Raw genomic sequence first — 13,146 nt, 5'->3', positions numbered from 1 at the left:
TTCAAGTCCCCCACCAGCCCCTTCAGAGTCGGGGCAGAACCTCCCTTTTGGGGTGTCTTGGGAAGTTAAATGCAAAATAAAGTTGATTTAAAACCAAATGAAGACATCTAGGCTTTGGAAAGTTGCCAGGAGTGAGGGTCCTGGTGGGGCAGGTGTGTCTTTCCTACCCCCACTCCGAGATGCCAGATCAGACACGAGCTGCCCTGGCGGGGTGATCCGCGGGGTGCGGGGGGAAACGACAGGGGCCGTGTGGACCTGGGTGGGCTCAGAACCCCCCGGGGGGCAGCGGCGTGGGACCCCACGAGTGGTTCTGCGGATACCAAGGCCCTCCCAAGTTCCGCCGCAGGACGGGGGGCGCTGATACGGTCACCCCGTCGCCCCCATCCGCCAGGACCCGCAGCGCGCAGCCCGGGAGGAGCCCAGCGCCCGCGGCCTCCTCACCCCGCCGCTCCAGCCTCGCGTCGGGGAAGGGCCCAGGGACAGAGGGCGGCATGAGGGCCCCGGGGAGGGCGAGAAGGCCTGGCGGGCCTGGGGGGCCCGAGGGGGAGGGGCAGGATGTGACCCGCGGGTCTTTGTGACCTGGTGGGGGATGGAGTGTGACCTCCACAGGGGGGCGCGGGGCCGCAGCGCGTGACCCGGGGCTACACTCGGGCCCTCCCCCGGCGGACACCATGGCGCGCACCGTCCCGCGCCGCCGACCCCGCAGCCGCGCCTGCTCCGACAGCAGCCCGGGACCCGGACCCCAACCCGGGCCCAGCCCAAGCGCTGATGACTGCTGCCCGTCGGGGCCCGCGCCCCCCGCACGCCGCAGCTCCCCGCGCCCCCGCGCCCCCCGCCGCCCGCGCAGCCCCACGCCCCGGGGCCGCCGCCGCTGCACAGCCCGAGGCCACGGGCCCAGCAGCCGCCGCACCGGGGGTGCACAATGCGCGTGGCCGCCCCAGCACGTTGTCCCAGGCAACCCCAGGAAGCCGGGCGGCGCAGCGCGAGCCACTGACCCGGTCCCCGGTGAGCACGACCCCCGACCGCGGAACCCCAGGCCCGTCCGCGCTTCCGATCCCGGACAGGACCCCTCCTCCCCATCTGCCTTCGGAACCCCAGACCCGCCTCCCACACCCGGAAACCCAGGCCTACCCCCTCCCCGCCCCGGGCCTCCAAATTCTAGACCCCTTACCCTAGGAATCCCAGACCCGCCTAGCTCGGAACCACAGAACTCCCCCACTAAACCTGCCCAACTCTACCCACTCGCCCGCCCTCGAAAGCCCAGAGCTGTTCTCCCCACCTTCCCCCATCTTCTGGGAACTCCACAGCTGTCCACTCCCCTCTGCCTTCAGAACCCCATACCTCTCCTCATTAACCTAGACCTGCACCCCCAACCCAGACCTCCCCCTCGACCTAGACCTGATCCCCAATTGAGACCTGATGCCCACAACCCAGACCTGACCCCCAACCCAGACCTGACCCCGACCCAGACCTGACCCCAAAAACCCAGACCTGATCTCCCAACCCAGACCTGACCCCAACCCAGACCTGACCCCCAACCCAGACCTCCCGCTCAACCCAAACCTGACCCTCAACCCAGACCTGACCCCAACCCAGACCTGACCCCCAACCCAGACCTCCCGCTCAACCCAGACCTGACCCCCCAACCCAGACCTGACCCCAACCCAGACCTGACCCACAATCCAGACCTGATCCCCCAACCCAGACCTGACCCCCAACCCAGACCTGACCCCCAACCCAGACCTCCCGCCCAACCCAGACCTGACCCCAACCCAGACCTGATCCCCCAACCCAGACCTGACTCACAACCCAGACCTGACTCACAACCCAGACCTGACACCAAACCCAGTCCTGACCCCCAAACCCAGACCTGACCCCCAAGCCCAGACCTGACCCCAACCTAGAACTGATCCCTCAACCCAGACCTGATCCCCAACCCCAGAGCTGACCCCTAATCCAGACCTGACCCCCAACCCCAGACCTGACTCCCATCCCCAGACCTGACCCCAACTCAGACCTGACCTCCCAACTCCAGACCTCATCCCCCAACCCAGACCTGATCCCAACCCCAGAGCTGATCCCCAACCCCAGACCTGACCCTCAGCTTGGGCCTCAGAACCCTCTCCATCCCCAGAGCCCCCCACACCCTCCCAGTTTCCTGTAACCACCACACCCTCTCCTCTAGGGGTCAGAGGAGCAAAGGGCAAGCTGTCGGAGGCCAGTATGGAACCAGAGAGGAAGGGGCTATCGTTGGCTTCTTCTTCAGATGGAGACGGGAGAGAAGAAAATAGTGGGTATCGTGTATTGCCTGTGTGCCAGCCACTCGCCCAGAGTGGCCCGGGCTCAGAGGCAGTGCTGGCTGCAGCCTGCTGCCAGGAAATCAGGGACTCTGGGGGCAGGCACTTCACTGAGCTGCAGAACCAGGCGCCTTCTCTTGGACGGTCCAGGCGGAGGACCCCAGGGGTGTTGGGGGGCGCTGGCTCCTGCCTCCTGTACCCCGATCCCACTGGCCAGCTTCCTGGGAAACTGGGAAATTAAACGTGTGGGTGTGGAGGGCTCTCCTGGCGGGTCGTGGAGGCCCTGCACTCGCCTCTCTCTTCCTTCCTGCCCTTGCCCTCTTCAGACTCGTCTTCGTTGCGTGGGTAAATGCTCCCTAGGAGTCAAATGACTGGGTTACATGGCAGGCGCATACTTAGCTTTAGAAGGTCCCCCAACCGTTTAAGGGCCAGATCGAGAGCTCCGGTGCCCCCGCCCCCGTCCCCACCCGCAGTGGGTGTCCTCGCTGCCATTTCAGGCACTCGGGTGTGTGGTTTTAATTTGCATTTCCAGACAGCTCAAGGTGTTGAACTGTTTTTCACATGATTATTGGCCATTTGGAGCTCTTCCTTCTCGGAGTGCGGTTCCGGGACTGCAGGCCGCGGTTAAATCGCGCTATGGCCTCATGGACTTGCAGGAATTCTCTGTATGTCCTGGATACATGCTCTTTGTCAGATGGATGTGGCCTTGTCAGTCACTTCATGCTTCCTTTTGATAATCAGAACTTCTTAATTTAATTTTATTTTATTTATGTTCTTTGAGACGGCGCTGGTGGGAGTGTAGCAGTGAGGACGACCGGAGGTCACTCTCATCATCATCTTGGTTTTGGTGGGTCGTGGCCAGCTTTACAGCAACCTGTTTTATCAACACGGTCTTTATGACCTGTGTCTTGTGCCGACCTCCTATCTCATCCTGTGACTTAGAATGCCTTCACCATCTGGGAATGCAGCCCTGTAGGTCTCAGCCTCATTTTAACCAGCCCCTATTCAAGATGGAGTCGCTCTGGTTCACACACCGCTGACACGTCTACCACCATTCCTTGGACCAATCTCCGGCCACACCCCCTCTCCCACAGCTCTGGTCTCCATCACTGTGGATGAATTTTGCTGGCTCATGGATAGCACCCCTCAGAATATGCCATTTCATGTCAGCCTCATCAGACGAATGTCTTTTTTTTTTTTTTTTTTGAGACAGAGTTTCGCTCTTGTTGCCCATGCTGGAGTGCAATGGCGCGATCTCGGCTCACCACAACCTCCGCCTCCTGGATTCAAGCGATTCGCCTGCCTCAGCCTTCCGAGTAGCTGGGATTACAGGCATGAGCTACCATCACCCGGCTAATTTTAGTATTTTTAGTAGAGACAGGGTTTCACCATGTTGGCCAGGCTGGTCTCGAACTCCTGGCCTCAGGTGATCCAACCACCTCGGCCTCCCACAGTGCTGGGATTACAGGCATGAGCCACCGTGCCTGGCCTTGGATGCCTTGTCCTTTGACTTGATGTCCTCCTTCTCTTTTGCAGAATTAAAACAAGGAATTTCCCAAGACTTGGCTTCTTCCTCCAGATTAGACAGATACAAAATAGCAAGGCAGTTAACAGAAAAAGCAATCAAGGTAAATGCTCCTTGGGACTCGGTGGGGAGGGGGACACTTTTTTAAAAGGACATTTGTTTTGGAACTTGGAATCTGTCCATCTGGCCTCTGACGCACTGTGCCCCCGAGCTGCAGCCTCCTCCCTGTGGGGACTTGGCTCATGTTACCTTTCATTTATTTACTTAACTTATTTTTGAGATGAAGTCTTGCTTTGTTGCCCAGGCTGGAGTGCAGTGGCACGATCTCAGCTTACCACAACCTCTGCCTCCCGGGTTCAAGCAATTCTTGTGCCTCAGCCTCCCGAGTAGCTGGGACTACAGGTGCACGCCACCATGCCCAGCTAATTTTTGTATTTTTTAGTAGAGATGGAGGTTTCACTATGTTGGCCAGGCTGGTCTCGAACTCCTGACCTCAGGTGATCTGCCCGCCTTGGCCTCCCAAAATACTGGGATTACAGGCATGAGTGACTGCGCCTAGCCTGGAGATACCTTTTATTTTAGCCGTACTTTAGAAAGAAGCAATGCTTCTCTGCCTCCCACCAAGGGGTGGCCAGCGCCGCCCGCTGTGTGTCCTAGGGTGGGTGCTTGTCCCGGCTTTATCTGTTTATCTGCTTATCCCCACAGGAAGCATGAGGCTCCTGGATGGGAAACAGACTTCCAGGTACTCAGAGAATGCCTGCGTAGGTTCCCCACACCCCAGCTCCCCTTAGGGACGCTCACTGTGCCTCCACCTGTGTGTGCAGAGGGGTTTGCACCTCAGGAGAGGAACCCCAACATTATGGCCCTGGGAGCTTATATGGGGCAGTTGGCACTCTCCCTCCCCAGGAGAGGGAGCCCAGGAGAGGGAGGCCTTACCTTTTAACTGGGATGTAAGCAAGGCCTCCCTTGGGGAGGGAGGAGACCTCTGCTCCCCATATGTGTCTGGGGAGACAAGGAAGGCTCTCGTGTTCTGTAAATGGGAGCTGAGGGCTCCAGGTCTGCCATGCTTGGAATGAGAAGAGCAAGTGACCTGGGGAAAGGCGGCTTTCTTTGTCTTGATGGTGTGTCGATTTCCACTGCTCAGAAGGCCTGACCACAGAGGAACCCCAAGTCATCCAGCTGGCAATAGTGTGAGAAAACATCTGCATTCCCTTAACTCCCCTCTGAGGTACAGCACACACTGAAAGTGCACAGACTGCAGGTGCACGGCATGGTGAGGTTATGGCCAGACACACCCGGACGGAGAGCAGAACGTGTACAAATATGTGCAGACTGCAGGTGCACGGCATGGTGATGTTAAGGCCGGACACACCCGGACGGAGAGCAGAACGTGTACAAATATGTGCAGACTGCAGGTGCACGGCACGGTGATGTTACGGCCGGACACACCCGGACGGAGAGCAGAACGTGTACAAATATGGGCAGTCAGACAGTCTCCATAAAGACCGTTCCATCACCCTCAGGTACAAACATGTGCAGTCAGGCAGCAATCTTCATAAAGACCATTTCATCACCCTCAGGAGTTCCCCTTGGCCCCTATCGGTTATTCCCCACCCCTGTCCCAAATCCTGGCAACCATGGATGCGCTATTTGTGCTTTCTCTCACTGTCCTTTGGGCTTTTCTGGAACTTCATATAAGTAGAACCATATCCGCTCATTAATTTTCAGATTTTCTTCTGAAACCTTTAAATGTATAAACATTTATAAACATAAATGTTTTAAAGTTTATAAATGTATAAACATTTAAGGCTACAACTATCCCTCTGGGTACCGCATTAGCTGCATTTCACAAGCTTTTATTTTGGAGTACGTTTGTCTATGTTCAGTTCAAAGTATTTTACAGTTCATGTTACTTAAAAGTATTGTTCTTACAGTCTACACTTGTTACTTTTTTGTAGTTATATTGTTCTTGTTTTCTAGCTTGATTGCATTGTGGTCGAGAATGTGCTATGTGCAATGTTATTCCATTGAAATTTGTTTAGACTTGCTTTACGCCTAACATTTTGTTAATTTATGTAACAGTTGGTGTAGAGTGTGCTTTTTTTTTTTTTTTTTGAGATGGAGTCTCGCTCTGTCACCCATGCTAGAGTGCAGTGGCACAGTCTTGGCTCACTGCAACCTTTGCCTTCCAGGTTCAAGCGATTCTCCTGCCTCAGCCTCCTGAGTAGCTGGGACTACAGGTGTGCACCACCATGCTCGGCTAATTTTTGTATTTTTAGTAGAGACGGGGTTTCACCATGTTGGCCAGGCTGGTCTTGAACTCCTGACCTCAGGTGATCCACCCACCTCGGCCTCCCACAGTGCTGGGATTACTGACTTGACCCACCGTGCTCCGCCAGAGTGAGCTGTTTATAGCCACTAGAGTAGAGTTTGTTATTTGAGTTGTTCAAATCCTCTAAAGTCTTATGGAACTTATTGGTCTGTGCATTCTATCAATTACTGAGAGAAGCAGGTTAAAATACCCTATTATAATCTTGGGTTTGTCTACTTTGTAGTTCTAGTTTTGTTTTTTATAACTAATGCCTTCTTAATAGGTGCATACACATGTATCTTTCTAGTGAATTGAATCTTTTTAAAATTATGAAATGGTTTTCTTTACCTTAGTAATGTTTATTTGTCCCAAAGACTATTTTGTCTCATATTTCTATCTTTTCCTTTTCTACCCCATCATCTGTATACCTATGTGTTTGATGGTCTCTTTGCCTTTTGTCTGGAGCATTTAGTGTATTTATCTATAATTAAACCGTTGATGTATTCAGGTGTGTCTGTTATCTTCATTCATTTAGTACGTTCCTTTGGTTCAATTTTCCTTTCCTCTCCTTTCATGTGCTCTCCCGGACTGGTTACTTTTTAAATCCCCCTTTCCCCTCTCTTACCTGTTGGAAATCTTACGCTGTTTTTATTCCTTTGGTGGTTTCCTTAGGAATTGTATTCTGCCCATCCATTTTTCTAAAGTTACTCAGTTTGACCACAGCTAAGCAGGGTGTTGGGGGTGGCAGAGTGTCTTGTGGAGTCGGAGGGTGCCAGCCCTCTTGCGGACTGTCCAGCTCCCCCACCGTTCTCCCCAAAGCCTCGGGTGATAGGCTCATTCACGTGCACAGCCACGTGGGCGGGTGACAGGCCTCAGACTGATTATCGGAGTAGACAGCGGCCCAGAGCGGTGCTGGGACCAACCAGATGTCTCGTGTGGGTGCTGGGACTCAGACTCGGGGTTCCCAGAGAGGTGCTGGGACCGACCGGATGTCTCGTATGGGTGCTGGGACTCAGACTCAGGGTTCCCAGCTACAGCTGTAATTGTGCCGCTTCGTCCGCTGTGTGCCTGGGTGTGGGCATGGTCTTCTTTGAGCAGATGTCTTCCTGCCAGAGCACAGTTTGTCTCCTTCTGCTTTGAAAACTCCTCTTACAGAAAAATAATCAACTTATTTTTCAATTCCTTGACTTAAAATACTATACAAACAGCCAACAAACGTGAAAAAGCGCTCAGCATCACTAATTCTCAGGGAAATGCGAATTAAAACCACAATGTGATACCACCTTCCTCCTGCAAGAATGGCCATAATGAAAGAGTGAAAAAGTAATAGAGGTCCGCGTGGAAGTGGTGAACAGGGAACACTTTTACGCTGCTGGTGGGAATATAAACTAGTGCAACCACTGTGGAAAACAGCGTGGACATTCCTTAAAGGACTAAAAGTAGATCTACCATTTGATCCAGCAACCGTACTCCTGGGCATCTACCCAGATGATAAGAAGTCATGATACAAAAAAGATACTTGCTCACGCATGTTTGCAGCAGCTCAGTTCACAACTGCAAAAATATGGAACCAATCAAAATGCCCATCAACCAACGAGCGGATAAAGAAACTGTGGTGTATCTGCACCACGGAATACTGCTCAGCCATAAGAAGGAACCAGATAATGTCTTTTGCAGCAACCTGGATGGAGCTGAAGGCCATTCTTCCAAGCGAAGTAACTCAGGAATGGAAAACCAAATATCGCTTGTTCTCATAAGAGGGAGCTAAGCTATGAGGATGCAAAGGCATAAGAATGATAAGATAGAGTTTGGAGACTTGGGGGAAGATTGGGAGGGGAGAGAGGGATAAAAGATTACATATTGGGGCTGGGCGCGGTGGCTCACGCCTGTAATCCCAGCACTGTGGGAGGCCAAGGTGGGCAGATCGCCTGAGGTCAGGAGTTCAAGACCAGCCTGGCCAACATGATGAAACCCCATCTCTACTAAAAAATACAAACATTAGCCAGGCCTGGTGGTGTAGCAGGATGAGCCACAGACAAAACTCCTCAGACACCGGATTAAAGAAGGAAGAGGTTTTCATTCGGCCGGGAGTGTCAGCAGACTCGCGTCTTAAGAACTGAGCTCCCAGAAAAGGAAATTCTTGGCCTTTTTAAAGGCTTACAACTTTAAGGGGTCCACGTGAAAGGGTCGTGATACATCAAGTAAGCATGGGAAACGTGACTGGGGGCTGCATGCATCAGCTAACAGAACAGAAAGTTTTACAATGCTTTTTTCATGCAGTGTCTGGAATTTACAGATAACACAAGTAGTTTAGGTCAGGGGTTGATGTTATTATTATTACTTTTTTTAACTCCTAGGGCTGGGTGGTGGTGCCAAGGTTGTCTGGCTATTTATCTTACTTTTCTTTTCCCCCAACTTTTTGCTCTTTCTCTCCTCCTGTCTTGTGAACTAGGCAAGGTGGGGGAGGAGGGCAGCAGGAGTAGTAGTGGTCTCCTTCCTTAGTGGCAGGCACCTGTAATCCCAGCTACTTGGGAGGCTGAGGCAGGAGAATTGCTTGAACCTGGAAGACAGGTTGCAGTGAGCTGAGATTGCCCCACTGCACTCCGGCCTGGATGACAGAGTGAGATTCCATCTCAAAAAAAAAAAAAAAGGACATATTGGGTGATGGGTGCCCCCAAATCTCAGAAACCAGCACTAACAAGCTTATCCATGCAACCAAAATCTGCCTATTCCCCAAAAATGATTGAAATAAAATAAAATATCCTCTTGCCATTTTAGGAGAAGAAGATTTTCTCTATCTACGGACACTACCCGGTGGTCCGGGCCGCTCTGCGAAGGAAGGGCTGGGTAGAGAAGAAGTTCCACTTTTTGCCCAAGGTCATTCCGGATGTCGAGGATGAAGGCGCCCGGGTCAATGGTAGCGTATCGGAGGCGCACGTCTCAGCTCAGGGCGTGTGCGTCTGTCACGGGCAGGAGGAGTCGGCGCCGGCCTGAGTGTGGTGCCTGCCCCTCGGCCCTGGTGTGCGTGATGGGGTATCTCCGACCCCAGGTCTCCATCACCCTCCTGGCCTCCCTGCCCCAGGCGGTCGTGCCAGGCAAACCCTTTCAAGCCCCCAGCCCTGCTCCCTTCTCAGAGTCCCTGTGGCCTCCACCCAGGCCTCCTCCTGCCCGGGCGGTTTCTGTCATCCTCTCTCCGCCCGGCCTCAGCTGTCCCTCCTCCAGCCCCAGGTCCCTGAAGTCCACTCCTCAGGCCCCCGTGGTGCTGGCTGCTCCTCGCTGACATCTGCACAGCTGTGTCTGCATCCTCTTGGCCCCATTGAGACCCGGATCAAATGTCCCCCTCCTCCTCCACCCCTGCCTGTGGCCCCTCAGCCTCTATCACTCCCACCCCCATCCCGGGCTGTCTCCACCATTCCACACCTGGGGACACCTGGGCCTCCAGGAATCCCGGGCCCCCAAGCCCTGTCACAGCCCTGGGGAGGTGCTGTGCGGTGGACGCTCATTGGATGTATGGGGGCTGCCAGAATGCCCCAAGCCTGACTCAGGACCCACAGAGGCTCCTGCTCCACCAGGGGAAGGCCCCATCTGGAGCCAGGTTTCTGGAAGTAAAGTCGCTGTCCTGCCTGCGGTTGTGGTAACGGACCCGGTGCGGGAAGTCTGGCTGAGGCTTCATGTTCAGGCCTCCCCTGTGTTTTGTTGGCAGATGATACATGTGCCAAAGTCAAAGAAAATCAAGAAATGGCTTTGGAGAAAACAGACAACATCCACGACGTGATGGTACGTCCCCTGCATGCGTCATGGTCAGCTGCGGCCTCTCCAAAGCTTCTCACACCGTCGCCCTGCTCCGTGCCCACTCTCCCATGTCCTGGGGGGATGGCAGCCCGGCGAGGGCAAAGCCCCAGTCACAGCAGGGCCCCTTGACCGGGCAGCAGGGCCTGGCTGCCCCCAGGGGTGGGGCGAGCCCTTCGGTGCTGGATGAGCCGCTGTGTAGTGGGTGGACCCGGTGCTCCCAGCTCCCCTCCACCCACACTGGGCTGGCCTGCTGTGCGCATGTGGAAGCTGAGGGCACTGAGGCCCGGCAGGGCTCGGACAGCCCGGCTGGTGTGTTGCAGGATGGGGCCTGGCCAGCGAGTGAGCTCCTGTCTCCAGCAACACAGTAGTATGTGCCTCCCCACCTCCCCAGCCCAGCCTAGTCCCTCCGGGGCTCCCAACACTCCACCATAAAGAGGGCGAAAGAGAAACCAGGGTGGGAGGCGGCATTTGCAGTACTTAAAATTTAAAAGATCAAATGTCCAGAATATATGAAGAACTCACAAATCAGTAATGAAAAGACAAATAGAAAAATGGGCCCAGATTTGATGAGGCGCCTCCCACATGGCCAGTGAGCTCGCCCTTCCAGGTTCCTGGAGTCAGTGCCATTCCTACAGAGCATCCTGGGTGCTCCAGCGGCTCCCACAGGTCCGTGGGCAGTGGTGTGGACACATCAGAACATTCCTCACTGTTCTGGAGGCTGGAGTCTGGGTTGGGGCAGTGTGGCTGGGTGCTGTGAGAGTGTCCTGCTTCATGGACGGCTGGCTTCTCTCTGCGTCCTCACCCAGGGGCGAGGGTTTTTCTGGGGCCTCTTTTATAAGGGTGCTAGCCCATCATAAGGGGCTCAGGCTCATGACCTAATCCTAAAGCCTCCTATGCCATCGCCCTGGGGATGAGGATTGTAGCACATGCATTCCAGAGAGACAGAAACATTCTGCTCATTGTGCCTGGAGGACAGACAGAAGCAGGTGGCAGTTACCGGGTGGGGGCGGCTGGGGGACTTCGGCTCTGTTGACGATGCTGTTTCTCACCCCAGTACCCAGTGGTTAGTGATTAGTATGCTATTATTTACACACACACACACACACACACACACACACTTTTTTGGGGGGGTGTTTTCAGATGGAGTCTCACTCTGTTGCCCAGGCTGGGGTACAATGGTGCAATCTCGGCTCACTGCAACCTCTGCCTCCTGGGTTCAAGTGATTCTCCTGCCTCAGCCTCCGGAGTAGTTGGGATTACAGGCGCCCGCCACCACGCCCGGCTAATTTTTGTATTTTTAGTAGAGACGAGTTTCACCATGTTGGTCAGGCTGGTCTTGAACTCCTGGCCTCAGGTGATCTGCCTGCCTTGGCCTCCCAAAGTGTTGGGATTACAGGCGTGAGCCACTGCACCCAGCCTGGTTGGAATTTTGACTTAACACATGCCATTGTTATAAACAGAAAAGCACCAACAACAGGCCCCCAGCTCCACGACCAACCCCTCTATCAGCAGGGGAGGAGCGGGAGGCCAGTGCCTGGGGCTCAGGGAGGGGTGTGCAGGGCCCATGGTACAGGCCTGGGGGCTTCGGTCCTGGGGACTGTAAGCTCTGGGTTATGAAGTGTCGTGTCACCTCGGCAAGTGGCACGTCCCCACACCCACGTAGACCCCATGCGGACGGCTCAGACCCCACCTGCAGCCCCACATCGGGGTGGCCCCCCAGAGCCCGAGGCCCCTCTGTGGAAACCGTATGTGGTCCTGGTTGCGCCCCACATCCCATGTGCAGGAGGCCCACAAGGAGCACTACTGCCTGCAGCAGAGCCCGGCTGGGATCCTCACGCTGCACGCCATTTGTCCTCTGATGGTTGCCTCACTCCATCCCATCCTGGCTGGTGTGAACCTTGAATGCTGGGCATCAATAAAGACTTTTTTCTTGCCAGTCTAGGTTGGTAAAAAATGAGATGCCGTACCTCCTCTGGACCATCAAGAGGGACATCATTGACTATCACAGCCTGACCTACGACCAGATGCTGAACCACTACGCAAAGACAGCCTCCTTCACCACCAAGGTGAGCCGGCCGCGCTTGAGCGTGGCGGGAGCCGGCAAGGGTGGTGGGGAGGAGCTTCTGCAGCCATTAGGGACCCTCGGTGGCTGGTCAGTGGCCACCAGTCACCTCCTGGGTGCATCCCAGGACTCCTGGTCTAAGGCCGTGGCCAGAATCACTCGGTGCCCACCCCACCCCCAGCACCCCTGTGCCCTTTGCTCTGTGTCTCTGGGTGAATCCGGGGCCCCAGAAGCTCCCTCCTCAGGGCACAGAGGCCAAAGATGGGGCTGACTGGGGGCTGCCACCGGGCTTTGGGTGCTGAGGGGGCTGTGGGACCCCAGGGGAAGAGGTGCCGCTCCCCCCAGCACCGGGCACTCCCCCGCCTCCCCCGGCCTCCAGCCCTGCACAAAGCAGCTTGCCACACCCTTCCCACCAAGGCCCAGGGCTGAGGCCTGCCCAGGACGCAGGGTGTGGGGACCCTGCTGAGGGAGGGGTCCCGGAAGAGGGGCTTCCCTGGCACAGAGGTCCCTCTCAGCAGGCCAGGTGCGGCTGCCTCAGCACAGTGTGGGGCGGAGGTGCAGGACAAGGTTCCCTTCCGCACCTAATACCCCAGGGTCAGGCCAGCGCCAGCGCTGCTAGTGGCAACATGGCCCCTTCAAAGACCCCGTGTGCAGAGCCAGTCAGCGTGCGCTGTGTTTTCTGGGGGCCAGCCACTTTTTTCCTTAACAGGGTGACAAACCAGACATCGGGGTGCGGGGACTTCACGATATGCCTCTCTAATGGCGCGTGCTACCTCGCGTGTGGTGGGCAGTGCTGGGCATGTGGCTGCGTTCCGGGCCCTGCAGCCGCTCCTCCCTCTCCTGGGGTCTGAGGTGTGGGACACCCTGTGGCCCGTTTGGGGGCCTGGAGGGAGCCCCAGTGCCCACCGCCCTCGGTGCCCTCAGCTGCAGCCTCCCCATTCCCTGGGGCCTGCCACGCCCTCCACTGCCTCAAGGATGCGTCTGAGCCTGGCCTGCACATCCATGCTCCCACCGGCTGGAGGGGGTGTTCTGGGGCCCTGGGGGACCGTATATCTGGGGAGGGGGAGGGATCCGCCCTAGGGGTGCTGTGTGGTGCCCCATAGCCAGGCAAGTCTGAGGTGGACGGCCCGTCCTCGCCTTGTGAGCGAGGCAGAGCTGA

General features: G+C 55.9%; 1 protein-coding gene across 8 annotated transcripts in view; it reads left to right on the top strand.

Moving 5' to 3' along the window:
- Positions 861-13,146, top strand: part of TTLL8 (tubulin tyrosine ligase like 8) — a 39,724-nt gene continuing 27,438 nt past the window's right edge. For 3 of the 8 annotated variants that reach the window (XM_024452173.1, XM_024452172.1, XM_047441179.1), the window contains exons 1-6: positions 932-1,005; positions 2,186-2,290; positions 3,834-3,925; positions 8,912-9,050; positions 9,837-9,910; positions 11,863-11,991. In XM_024452173.1, coding sequence (XP_024307941.1) covers positions 2,224-2,290; positions 3,834-3,925; positions 8,912-9,050; positions 9,837-9,910; positions 11,863-11,991 — 501 coding nt within the window. In that variant the 5' untranslated portion in view covers positions 932-1,005; positions 2,186-2,223. Of the gene's footprint in view, positions 1,006-2,185; positions 2,291-3,833; positions 3,926-8,911; positions 9,051-9,834; positions 9,911-11,862; positions 11,992-13,146 lie in introns of those variants that run through there. The other 5 variants (NM_001350317.3, XM_024452174.1, XM_024452177.1 and 2 more) reach the window with 5 other exon arrangements.

This window comes from Homo sapiens, chromosome 22, assembly GCF_000001405.40.
Source record: "Homo sapiens chromosome 22, GRCh38.p14 Primary Assembly".
NCBI classification, from domain to species: Eukaryota; Metazoa; Chordata; class Mammalia; order Primates; family Hominidae; genus Homo; species Homo sapiens.
The sequence above is the reverse complement of the archived record's forward strand: the minus strand, read 5'-3'. Positions and strand labels throughout refer to the sequence as shown.